The sequence below is a fragment of the Homo sapiens genome, chromosome 8, assembly GCF_000001405.40.
Source record: "Homo sapiens chromosome 8, GRCh38.p14 Primary Assembly".
Classification (NCBI taxonomy): domain Eukaryota; kingdom Metazoa; phylum Chordata; class Mammalia; order Primates; family Hominidae; genus Homo; species Homo sapiens.
In genome coordinates, this window is record NC_000008.11 from 141,021,529 (window position 1) to 141,034,074 (window position 12,546).

The window sequence follows — 12,546 nt, forward strand, 5'->3', positions numbered from 1 at the left end:
TCTCATTTGGTCCAGATCGCAAAAGGGAAGGAGGAAAGTGTCAATTATCTAGCAAACGCTTGTATAACACTTCTATGTGCCAGGCCCCATTGCGATTGCTTTACCAGTCTTAACCCATTTAAACTTCCCAGCAACCCTATGAGGTAGTTACTCCTGTTACTTCCATTTTACAGATGAGAACACTGAGGCCCAGATTGGGTAACTGGCCCAGGAGCCCACAGCTGATAGGTGCAGAGCCAGGTTTGGAACCCAGGTAACACAGCTCCGAAGTCCCTGTCTTTCCCACTGCTGCAGCCCTCCCATGGCCCCTGTCAGTGCATTCCGTAACATTTACTCCATCCACCAAGCACGCCGGCCTGCAAAATATATTAGTGTTGTACTCCTATTTTAAGACAAAACAATGGCTGGGAGGAAATAGATAAGGAGTTTGTGCTTCCTGGAGCTCTGGGGCTCGTCTGGCCCTCCCATCAGTGCAGATCAGGGTGACCACCGGCAGGACGGGTAAGGCCCGAGAGGCTGCAGGGAGTGTGGGGGCGGCTCCGTCCTGGTCAGCCCTCCTGGAGGCAGAAATTACTAACTGGACATGAAAATACATGAGCCACTGCGAAGAAATCTAATAAGCACAGGGAAACATACCAAAAGAGGAAAGGGGGGAAATGTAGCTACTAACCAAAGACAGGGAGGCAAAGGCTGAGCAGTGGGCCCAGGACTGCTGCCTGCCTTACAGGAAACTGTGTCGGAAGAGCAGTCTTAGGCACATGGAGATGTGCTAGCTATTCAGAAGCACGTGCTCATTTTGCTCTTGAATAGTTAATGTAAATTCAGTGAACAGGTACATATGGCAGGGGGGAAAATAGCAACAGCTCATCCAGGAAGGAAGCTGGGCCTGGCCTTGCAAATGCCGAGACGGGGGAAGGGCCCGATAGCAGCACAGCTTTCCAGGTCTGACAGCTCCAGCTCAGGGTGTGGCCCAGCTCACCCTCTCTCCAGCTGTGTCGCCTTGAAGCTCTGAACTGGTTTCTCCATCTGGGGAGGGGGCCTGCGGGCACGTGAACAGCTCTCTGTTGAGATTCTTGTCAGTGTGAAGGGTGCAGCTGGGGACCTGGTGTGTGGGGTGGCATGGCATCAGGCCGATGGGGTAGGGGATAAGAGAAGTATTTCTGGCCGGGCGTGGTGTCTCATGCCTGTCATCTCAGCACTTTGGGAGGCCAAGGCAAGCAGATCACTGGAGGTCAGGAGTTCGAGACCAGCCTGGCCAACATGGTGAAACCCCATCTCTACTAAAAATACAAAAATTAGCTGGGCGTGGTGGCGCATGTCTGTAATCCCCGCTACTTGGGAGGCTGACGCATGAGAATCACTTGAACCCAGGAGGCAGAGGTGGCAGTGAGCCAAGATGACGCCACCGTACTCTAGCCTGGGCAACAGAGTGAGACTCCCTCTCAGGAAAACAACAGACAAAAAAAAAAAGAAGTATTTCTGACAAGGGCCTGGACTTCTCGGTTGTTTTCTTGGGGCCATTATGGCCCAAGAAAATGCTGGCCGCCCAGAATGTGCTGGACAAGCCCTCCCAGAGACTATTGTGAGCACTGCTGGAGACTGGCTGGGGCCTGACCCAGAGCTGCCATCCTGACGGATGGGCAGGGCCACGTCTGCGGGAAGTGGGCGGCCAGGCCCAGGCTGCTGTGTCTGGCAGATGGAGCAGAGTGTGCCTGTAGGACTGGCTTCTGGAGCATGTGACCACTGCAGTCACAGAAGGCCTCATGTTCAGAAGGGGGACCTGTGATTGGGGGTTAACCCTCTGCAGTCACCAACTTGAAATTCTTAATAATTGTATCCTTGAATCTGTGTTGTGGAAGCAAAGTCTGATAAGAAAATGGAGCACACACCGGGGCTTGGAGCCTCAGCTCACACATGGCCCCACCCCGTCCCCTCCCTGTCTCCCTGTGTTAGTCCCGGTGCCCTGGGCATGCCCAGCTCATTCTTCCTATGCTCACCTGTAGTGGTGGCAACACTGCCTCCCACAGTGTCTGGGGTGGGGCACCGCAGTGGCTGTCCCCATCCTTGGCTGGCAGCAGCATGGCACCTACCTCTGAGCCAGGTACCAAACATGTCTGGGTACTGAGGGTGCATCTTTTGGGGGTTGTCCTTCACCATGGGTTGGGGTGATGACCATGCAAGGGGAGATAGTTTCCATTTTTCCCCTTTCCCCCTCCTACTGGAGTGTCACACTTCCTTTTTATTTTGAGACAGGATCTCACTCTGTCTCCCAGGCTGGAGTGCAGTGGTGTGATCTCAGCTCACTGAATCCATCTCCCAGATTCAAGCAATTCTCCTGCCTCAGCCACCTGAGTAGCTGGGATTACAGGCACCCACCACCACACCCAGCTAATTTTTGTATTTTTAGTAGAGATGGGATTTTGCCGTGTTGGCCAGGCTGGTCTTGAACTCCTGATCTCAAGTGATCTGCCTGCCTCAGCCTCCCAAAGTGCTGGGATTACAGGTGTGAGCCACTGCGCCCAGCCAAGGAGTGCCACATTTTTGCTTTGCATTGAGTTCCACAAATTTTGTAGCTGGCACCATGTGGCTGGGACAATATTGAGAAGCCACAACCTTAAACTCTGCTCGGTACTGTCCACAGCAGAAGGGGAGAGCTCTTCTGAGGCCTCTTGCTTCTCCATGGGGCAACAGTTTGGCATAGAGATGGTATAGCTCAAACCATCAACATTCTCAGCCTCTGCTTGGAGCCACCATCCATTGACCTCTGCTTGCAGGAGGGCATTTCCTAGGGGATATGGCAACTGTGCCGAATCTTTCAGAAGGAGCAGGGCTGGCCCAGGGCTGGAAAAGTCTCCCTAGGCTGGAGGGAAAACATTTGCTAACATGGAACTGTTTTGATGTTGGTAGAATCCTGGCATTGGACAGGCCAAGTGCAGAGGCTTTGTGTCAGGGAAGGCCACTGAGGACTCTGGAGGGGACAGGTTTAGATTGCATGGCCTTGGCACGCAAGCCGCAAAAGTTTAGATCTTATCTTTTGGCTAGTTCTCAAACCTTGTCCCGTGGCCTGAAATGGAGGCCAAAATGACTTGCTTGAAGCAAGATATTCCTTGAAATTTTATAAAATTTCCTTACAATACATGAGAATTGTATGGTAAAAAGAATTGTTTTATGCTATCATAAAAATATGGGCCAGGTGTGGTGGCTCGTGCCAGTGCTTTGGGAGGCTGACATGGGTGGATTGCTTGAGTCCAGGAGTTTGAGGCTGCAGTGAGCTATAATTGTGCCATTGTATTCCAGCCTGGGTGACAGAGACCCTGTCCCTAAACACACACACACACACACACACACACACACACACACACACCAAAAGGTATGGAGGGATGGACTGATGCTGATGGTCCAGGGAAGATGTTTTCCCGTCCTCTAGAAAATGTTTCCTCCCAACACTGTTCTAGTGGGAGAAGCTCAGAGCAAGGTAGAAAAAGGGTGCTGAATGAATGGTTGATACAGTTAATAGCTAACAGAATAATGTGATCAGTAGATATTTTTAAAATGTGTACAAAGATGTGCAAAGATGTGTAAGACGCAGCCCCTTCCTTGAAGAAGCCAATATTCTAGTATAGGAACAATTCTACATAAGCTAATTGTATGTTTCCCATTGCTGCTGTAACAAATTACCACAAACTCAGAGGCTTAAAACAACTCAAATTCCTTGTCCTACAGTTCTGGAGGCCAGAAGTCCAATATGGGTCTCATGGGCTAAAACCAACGTGTTGCCCGGGCTGTGTTCCTTCCAGAGGCTCCAGGCAAGAATCTGTTGCCTTGCTTTCCCCAGCTCCCAGAGGTTGCCCATATTCCTTGGCTCGTGGCTCCTTCTTCCACCTTCAGAATGAATCACTCCAACCTCTGCATGTCACTGCACCTCCTTTTCTGACTCTGACCTTCTTGCCTCCCTCTTGGAAGAACCCTTTTGAGGCCGTGAGTGGTGGTTCACACCTGTAATTTCAGTACTTTGGGAGGCCGAGGTGGGTGGATCACCTGAGGTCAGGAGTTCGAGACCAGCCTGGCCAACATGGTGAAACCTCGTCTCTACTCAAAGTACAAAAAAATTAGCCTGGTGTGGTGGTGGGCACCTGTAGTCCCAGGTACTCGGGAAGCTGAGGCATGAGAATTGAACCCAGGTGGCGGAGGTTCCAGTGAGCCAAAATTGTGCCACTGCACTCCAGCCTGGGCGACAGAGCGAGACTCTGTCTCAATAAAAAACAAAAACCAGGCTGGGCGCAGTGTTTCACATCTGTAATCCCAGCACTTTGGGAGGCCGAGGCGGGTGGATCATGAGGTCAGGAGATCAAGACTATCCTGGCTAATATAGTGAAACCCCATCTCTACTAAACATACAAAAAAAAAAATTAGCCAGGCATAGTGGCGGCCGCCTGTAGTCCCAGCTACTCCAGAGGCTGAGGCAGGAGAATGGCGTGAACCTGGGAGGCGGAGCTTGCAGTGAGCCAAGATCGCGCCACTGCACTCCAGCCTGGGTGACAGAGCAAGACTCCGTCTCAAAAACAAACAAACAAATAAAAAGAAACCAAAAAACCCATTTGGTTATATTGGGCCCACTAGATATTCTGGGGTGATATTCCCATCTCAAGATCCATAATTTAATCACATCTGCAAAGTCCCTTTTGCCACGTAAGGACACATATTCACAGGGCAGAAGGATTAGGGTGCAGACATCTTTGGGGGACCATTACACAAATGATTACAAGTCAAAGTGTCATGAGATACTCCCAAAGAAGCAGGACAAAGGGATGTAGTGGCCCTAAGAAGGGAAAGGTGCCATTTGACTGTGGTGGTCTGGGAGGATCCCACTGAGGAGGTGGCATCTGAGCTGGGATGGCAGAGCAGCAGCGCACTCCAGGCAGAAGGTGGCAAATGGGCAGAGGTGCTGAGAGGCTGGGCAGGCAAGGGGTGCTTGTGGGAGATCAAGGTGTTGATTACAGCATCAGGCAGGTTAGAGGGGATGTACCAGACACATCCATGGTGCGGCCCGCAAATGCCTTCCCTTCCAAGGGAAACTATCTTAGGTGCTCCTCAAGCAGATGGCCCCAGACCCCACCAAAGTGGAGTGAGCAGCTCACCCTCAGAGACGAGCTCGTGGGCTGGTCATGCTGTCGACCTGGCTGCACCTGAGAAGCTGCCCAAGCCAGGACAACTGGCCAGCTGATCTGTCTCATTCACTGGGACTGGGAGATGTGGAAAGAATCCAGAGTTGGTGGTGGGAGCTGGAGCTAAAAGGAAACACAGCAAGCCCTGAGGCAGCAGGAGCCAGGACGGCCATGGGAGAGATAAGGTTATGAGTAAGTGAGAGGAAAACCTGAGTAAGCAGGAGGTGTTGGAAACCCAGTTGTGAGTAAGCCTAAGCTCTGAGCTGGCTGATGGCAGCAGGAGCTCTGGGGGGAGATGGAGAGACGCTGAGTCACCACAAAGCACTGAATCAAAGAAGGCCTGCTGCCCACAGGGGGCAAGACAGCCCAGGATGAGCCAGGCCCAGGGCCTCTACCATGCTTCCTGTCCTTGCCAGGAGTCTCCTAGCTCTCCTGTGTCTCAGTCCTGGCCCAGATCCTGGCAACACGGGGGACCCAGTAAGCACAGAGCAGCAGAGGGAGACAAGGCCAGGAGGGAGGACAGGGAACAGGTTGGGGAGACCTAGCCCCAACTCACCTCCCAGCCCCTCTCCCCCAGGCAAGCCCCTCACTGATTCCATCCCATGGCCCCTGTCAACCTCACTGCCCATCTTGGTGCCTTCAGATGCTCCACCATTGCTGGGAACTGTGGGTACCCCCAGAGTGAAGCAATACCATGGCTCAGCTGACTCGGCTTCTCCCAGTAAAGGAAGAATGGGCTGGCTGAGCCCGGTGCCAGGACTCTGTAGATGCTTTCAAGCTACCGTCTCTGGATAATTATCACTATGCTCATTTTACAGACTAGGTTAGGGCATTGTGCTAGGTGACTTTCCTGGGGTCACAAAGGAGTGGGCAAATCTCTCTGCAACTGACCTGCTCTGAAACCTTACCATGATTTGAGAACATATCAATTCATTAATTTATGCATCCAATATTATTAGTGCCTACAATGATCCAGGAACTGAACTGGTTGTGGAGATACATACGTGTTACATACATACTAATGGAGAGTGTGTAGATCATTTCAGACACTACAACGTGCTATAAGAAAACAAAATAGAACCTTGTAATGGTGAGGGACTCAGTGGAGGTCAGGAAAGGCCTCTTTGAAAAGATAACTTTTGAGCAAAGCCCAGAATGACAAGAATGAGCCAGCTATGTAAAAGTCTGTGAGGCCAGTATTGCAGGCAGGTTGTTAAATATATATTCATTCATTTATTAGAGGCACAGTCTTAAATCAGTAATATTTATTTCCTGGACGCCATTTAGAGTAGCTTCAAGACAGTAGTAGAAACTGACTAGAAAATTTTTTTTTTTTTTGAGATGGAGTCTCGCTCTGTGGCTCAGGCTGGAGTGCAGTAGCCCGATCTCAGTTCACTGCAACCTCCGCCTCCCGGGTTCAAGAGATTCTTCTGCCTCAGCCTCCGGAGCAGCTGGGACTATAGGCACCCACCACCACACCCAGCTAATTTTTGTATTTTTAGTAATGACGGGGTTCCACCATATTGGCCAGGCTGGTCTCGAACTCCTGACCTTGTGATCCACCTGCCTCGGCCTCCCAAAGTGCTGGGATTACAGGCGTGAGCCACCGCCCCCAGCCACTGAGCTTCATTTGTAAGAGGAAGATCATATCCATCGTATAGTTCGGCTGAAACTGCTGGTTTCTCTCCCAGGGTCCATTCTCCCCTTCTTCACTACCAACACATCCTAATTTTGTGTGGGATGGTAATGTGCCCACCTGACATGCTCCTCCAAAATCTCTTTGCTGCTAGTGGTGCCTGTGGACATTGTTCTTATTTATCAGATGAAGCTGGGGTTGGAGATGGAGTTGTCATCTTGTGACCTCAAAGCAACCAGCATGATAACAAAAGCCAGCACACCACAGACGGCAGAATGGAAAGGCAGTAAGAATCTGGGTCCGGTCTCTCACAAGGTTGTTGAGTCACTACACCAGTCCTGGAATGCTGATCTCTGGAGAACTTGTTAGGTAAGAAATGATCTCCTCTTGGTTAAGCCAGAGGGTTGGGTTTTCTGTTATCTGCAGCCAAATGCATGTTACTATAAAGTTCTTAAGAGGATTACATGAAATAAAGATGATGCCTAATAGAAACTCATTACATGATTGCTATTAATATTTGATGATGAGGTCATCCAAGCATTCCTTGCTTTCCCTTCATTTAAACGCTTCCCAGCACTTTGCACAGAAGCCTGCACATAGAAGGGCCATAACTGTGATCTCTGAGAAACAAAGAAATGAATTCTGAGACCAGGAAGAGACTTTTACACATTTGATCTGAATCGGGATATAAATGCTTGTCTTTTAGAGCTGAAAAGTAAAAAGGTGGAGTTAATGTTTTCCTCGCAAATTAAATGGCAGCTCCAGTGACCTGTTTAGTCATCCGCATCATGTGGAGGCAACAAGAACAAGGAGGCATGAGCGGTTGATGGAAAGTGCGTCCTTCCTTCACGTCAGATGTCACAGTTACACTTCACTGGTGGTCTTGTTGGGTTTGATTTACACACAGATAAATATGCAAGCTCAGCAGTAAAGGGCCTCCAGCCAAGATTTTGTTCTGTATTTAAAAAGAAAGCTCCAGGCTGGCATGGTGGCTCACGCCTCTATCCCAGCACTTTAGGAGGCCGAGGTGGGTGGATCACCTGAGGTCAGGAGTTCAAGGCCAGCCTGGCCCAAATGGCGAAACCTTGTCTCTACTAAAAAAAAAAAAATTAGCTGGGCGTGGTGGTGTGCACTTGTAATCCCAGCTACTTGGGAGGTGGAGGCAGGAGAATCGCTTGAACCCGGGAGGTTCAAAAGAAAGCTCCAGGGTCAGGCTCTTCAGATTCCCCTCAAAGCCAGGGCAAGCTGCTCACATCATGAGACAGCCAAGCACCTGTGAGTCTGGTGTGGTGGGGCCGAGGATTGCCCGGGAGCCATTCTGTCCCTTCTGCAGGTCACCGCTGCTGCCCCAGGTGTCCCCCAGTGTCTCTGTGGTGACGCCACCACCAAGGCTCGCTGCCCTGAGCCGCCGACCCTCTCCCTGTCTCGCAGCCCACGGCCCGGGGATACAAGGTCCAGCTGGGGCAGCGCATCCATGAGCCAAGTGACCTTGCTGTCTGTGGGCTGCAGTTTCTAGAACCGAGCACAATGTTGGGGAAGCCAGATTGCAAAGCCCAGCAGGCTGTTCGAGTAAATCAGCCATCTGCGGCCTTGATCTGAGCACCCGTGGAGTGGAGGCGGTCCCTGAGCAACCTGCACGTGGACTTCATCTGCCTCACGGGCACTTTGTCTTGGAAGCTGAAGGGCACAGCCCAGGCCAGACACTGTCCTGCCCCTGCAATCTCACATGTCCTCTATATTTCTGGGTATGTGCCCTGCCACCAGTGCTGGATCCATGATTCCTTGAAGGTGGGAATCTTGTCTTGTTCATTCTTGTCTCCTGGTGGCATTATTTGTTGGGATGGGGAGTGAGAAGAAAACCTGTGAATTGCATGAATTTGTAAATCGGATGGACGTGGAGTGGAATCTTGACTCTCACATTTACTCCCTTAGGAACCCTTAGACATATTGTTTACCCTCTGCTCTTCAGTTTTCCTGTCTAGTAGATAGGATTAGCAATAACACTGATCTCTCAGCAGTGATGCAAGGGTTGAATGAGACGACACAGGTGAAGGAATTAGCATGGCAGCTGGTAAACCGGAGGCATGGAAGAAATGGGTACACCTCTAAGCATGAGAATTTACGTCTTCCTGGTGCATAGCTTTAGCTGAGACACTCCTATCCAGTACAGACAGCTCCATCCTGGACCCTCTCTTCCTTCCTTGCCCCACCCTTTCTGCCACCTCATCTCCCCTTTTCTGGAATTTTCCACTCCGCATCCAATCCTTGGATCTGAGCAGACACCTCCACCCTCTCCTCCCCTGGCATGGTTTTGTACTTTCTGTTTTCCATTATCAGTTTCTGGGAAGCTGGTCCTCTGCTTGGAACCCCATCCACTTTCTAAGCTTTTCTGTGGCCAGCAGGTGAGTGGTGCTGCTTGGGGCGATGGCAGTTTTGCTCACCTGAATGAGGCATCTGGGTTGCATGTTAAAGTACAGCTTCCTGGATCCCAGCCCTCGTTTGAGCACCCCCAGTGTAAACAGACCAGCTTCTGTAGATTTGGGGTTCTGTCTACAGGATGCCCCAGCTCTCCAGGGTCCAGGCAGCCTAGTGTTGACATGAGACATGGCCAGAACCTAAGCTCCAAAGTCTGGGCAGTGGAGAAGCGTGACAGGGGAACAGGAGCAGGTGCAGTCAGGCACCAAGTTACACATTTGCTGGGCATATAATGAGGAAGCGATGGGGATGGTGACATTGGACCTGAGATCTGAATGACAAGGATCAGATCTCAGGAATAACAGACCATCTGATGGTCTGTTACGGGGAGAAGCTTACAATTTGGGATCTACTGTCAAGAACAAGATCAGGATTTGTCATAATCCATTTTATGTGGCTATAACAGAATACCACAGACTGCATAATTTATAAAGGAAAGAAATTTATTTTTCAGCTTTGGAGGGTGGGAAATCCAGTATCAAAGTGCTAGCATCTGTCGAGGGCATTCTTGTATCACCCCATGGTGGAAGGCAAGAGGGTGAGAGAGAACAAGAGATGGAACTCACAGCCTCAAGTCCTTTTAGATCTGGCATTGATCTATTAATGAGAATAGAGCCTTTGTAACCGAAACACCTCCCATTAGGCCCCACCTCCCAAAACTGTTGCCTCGAGGATTAAGTTTCCAACACATGCTTTCGGGGGGACACATTCAGACCATAGCAGGATTCTAGATGAGTCTCTTTTCATTTGACACAGTGTGATGTTTTTAACCAACTAACCATCAAAGAACCGATCCTTAGAAATAGAGTCTCCTTGGAATGGTGTCTGTGGCTGAGGACTTCTGTGGTATTGTCTGCCCCTCCTCAGGGGGCTGAGAAGTGCCTTCCCAGGCTTTGCACCTCATTTATTCCAGGGTTAAGGGCACTGGCTTTGAGGAAAGGAGACCATGGGTTCCAATGCTGCTGGTCACTTATTCATTCAGAATCCATCAACAAATGCTGGCTTCTCTATGTGCCATACACTGATTTAGGTTCTTGGGAAACAGGCAAACCTCTGCCCTCACTGGGCTTTTGTTCTATTAGGAGAGACAGGCAACAAACAAGTAACAGATCATAGCTCTGAGTGACATGAAGAAAATGTAGTGGGTCTGAGGCGTGATCTGTACTTGTGCATTTCACATGGGGTGAGGCGCTCTCTGAGAGGTGACATTGGACCTGAGATCTGAATGACAAGGAGAAGCCCTCCTGTGAAAACCTGAACAAATAGCCTTCCAGAAAGAAACTGCCCGTGCAAAGGCCCTGAGGAGGAAATGAACCTGCCAAATGTGAGGGACAGCAGAAGGAAGCTCCACCGCGGTGGAGGGCCATGAGGGAAGCCAGAGGAAAGAATCAAGGAAAGCTCAGAAGTGGAGTTCAGATCACGTGGTGCTCTGTAGGCCAAGAAGGGAGCTCAGATTCTATTTTGAGGGTGACTGGAGGCCACCGAGGCGTTTTGAACAGTGGAATGATGCAATTTATCTTTTCAAAATGTGACCTGGGCTGTTGAATGGGGAGCTGGCTGATGCAGGGGAGGGGCAGGCACAAAGCCAGTAGAAGGCCCTCCATCTGACATCCCCTGCCTCACTGGCCTGTGCTGCTGAGACCCCAGCATGCCTTGCCGTCACCCTTGTCCACATTTGCACGATGCCTCAATCCATCTCTTCTGGTTTAGAGATGACAGAGGCACCCCTTCCTCTTCCCCAGCTGCTATTAACACAGGGTGCGAGAGCCCAGAACGACTCCTTCCCACGCTCCTTTATTCTCTCTGCAGACAGTCTTCCCACCACCTTGTTCCGAGGCTCTGGGTGAGTGTTCCAGAAGCTGACGAGATGCAGGATCGTCTCCCTCACACACACAAATGCCATGGCAACAGCAACTCCGTGACAACAGCAAAGAAAGCCAGACTGGAATTTGCCAACCCAGAGTGTTGACCATCTGTGAGGCCAAACCCTCCAAATGTTGCCCGTTCTAAGTGCTCATCTCAACCAGGCTTTTGTACATAGCAGAGGCGACATTTAAGTGACATAAGAATAAACATTGGGCACATGTGAAATCCCTTTAAAGTGTGCATTTTTCTGCCCCAATGTGACTGAGATGATGACACAATGAAGAAAAAGGGGGGACTAGGTTTGAGTGAGTGGGCATGGTAGATTTCAGTAATAGGAAATTTAGACCGTCCATAGGGGAGGAGCTCTCCATAGAAAAAACGGCCCAGTTAGTTTATATCTATGCTTCCATTTTCAAGTCCAACAATCTTTTAGAAGTTTACCTTCCCCAAGGCAAAACATTGTGTGTATATATATATATATTTTTTTTGCTTTTTTTGAGACAGGGTCTTCCCCTGTCACCCAGGCTGGAGTGCAGTGGTGCAAACATGGCTCACTGCAGCCTCGACCTCCTGGGCTCAAGCCATCCTCCTGCCTCAGCCTCCCTAGTAGCTGGGACTATAGGCGTGCACTATCATGCCCGGCTAATTTTTAATTTTTTGTAGAGACAGGGTTTTGGCATGTTGCCTGGCCTCAAACTCCTGAGCTCAAGCCATCCTCCTGCTTTTGTATCCCAAACTTGTGGGATTATAGGCATGATCCACTACATCCGGCCAAAGATTTGTGAATAGTTCCATCAAAGGCCCCAATAAATTTAACCCTCTGGGTCTTGAGTTTCCATGGGTCTCCTTTTGTTCTTATAATAACAGTGATAACATCTGGTAGGAACTGTGCCAAATCCTTCATATGTATTTTCTCACTTACTCTTTGTAACAAACTTAGGAGGAGGTACGGCGATTACTGTTGGCCCTCCATATCTGCGGGGATTTGTGGGTTGGGTTCTACCAACTGTGGATTGAAAATATTTGGGGGAAAAAAATCCACAATGAAAAATAACAATAAAACAATAAAAATAATACACAATTTCAAAATACAGTATAACAACTATTTCCATAGCATTTTCATTATATTAGGTATTATAAGTAATCTAGAGATGATTTGAAGTGTACGGGAGAATGTGCATAGGTTGTATGCAAGTAATACTCCAATTTATGTAAGCAACTTGAACATCCTTGGATTTTAGTATCTGTGGGGGTCCTGGAATCAATCCCCCCACAGATATCAAAGGATAACTATACCTTTGTTTTAAAGAAAGTTGAGAAAACACGCACCAGCTTGGAGCTTGCTGGAGGCCGGGCAGAGGCAGACTGGCTGGGAAGGATTGTTTTCTTTTTTTTTTTGAGATG

The 12,546-nt window shown here is 49.6% G+C and overlaps 1 long non-coding RNA gene across 2 annotated transcripts, besides 6 other annotated features; it reads left to right on the top strand.

Annotated features, from left to right (window-relative positions):
• Positions 701–1,411: an enhancer, noted in NCBI's record as "H3K4me1 hESC enhancer chr8:142032328-142033038 (GRCh37/hg19 assembly coordinates)". NCBI's record gives its function as "activates a minimal SCP1, AML or CMV promoter by ChIP-STARR-seq in naive H9 embryonic stem cells {active_cell/tissue: H9 hESC(naive)}" and the evidence as "EXISTENCE:reporter gene assay evidence [ECO:0000049][PMID:30033119]".
• Positions 1,412–2,122: an enhancer, noted in NCBI's record as "H3K4me1 hESC enhancer chr8:142033039-142033749 (GRCh37/hg19 assembly coordinates)". NCBI's record gives its function as "activates a minimal SCP1, AML or CMV promoter by ChIP-STARR-seq in naive H9 embryonic stem cells {active_cell/tissue: H9 hESC(naive)}" and the evidence as "EXISTENCE:reporter gene assay evidence [ECO:0000049][PMID:30033119]".
• Positions 2,017–11,367, top strand: LOC105375783 (uncharacterized). 2 transcript variants are annotated; one of them, XR_007061120.1, is made up of 3 exons: positions 2,017–2,101; positions 6,988–7,170; positions 11,086–11,367. It is a non-coding gene; the product is annotated as an uncharacterized LOC105375783 (long non-coding RNA). The 2 variants fall into 2 exon arrangements; XR_928708.3 differs by having other exon boundaries at positions 2,019–2,101; positions 6,956–7,170.
• Positions 4,570–5,421: an enhancer, noted in NCBI's record as "H3K27ac-H3K4me1 hESC enhancer chr8:142036197-142037048 (GRCh37/hg19 assembly coordinates)". NCBI's record gives its function as "activates a minimal SCP1, AML or CMV promoter by ChIP-STARR-seq in naive H9 embryonic stem cells {active_cell/tissue: H9 hESC(naive)}" and the evidence as "EXISTENCE:reporter gene assay evidence [ECO:0000049][PMID:30033119]".
• Positions 4,570–6,272: a biological region, named in NCBI's record as "H3K27ac-H3K4me1 hESC enhancers GRCh37_chr8:142036197-142037048 and GRCh37_chr8:142037049-142037899".
• Positions 5,242–5,536: an enhancer, noted in NCBI's record as "tiled region #11335; K562 Activating DNase unmatched - State 5:Enh". NCBI's record gives its function as "activates a minimal TATA promoter and a strong SV40 promoter by Sharpr-MPRA in K562 cells {active_cell/tissue: K562}" and the evidence as "EXISTENCE:reporter gene assay evidence [ECO:0000049][PMID:27701403]".
• Positions 5,422–6,272: an enhancer, noted in NCBI's record as "H3K27ac-H3K4me1 hESC enhancer chr8:142037049-142037899 (GRCh37/hg19 assembly coordinates)". NCBI's record gives its function as "activates a minimal SCP1, AML or CMV promoter by ChIP-STARR-seq in naive H9 embryonic stem cells {active_cell/tissue: H9 hESC(naive)}" and the evidence as "EXISTENCE:reporter gene assay evidence [ECO:0000049][PMID:30033119]".
• Positions 11,368–12,546: the final 1,179 nt, after the last annotated feature.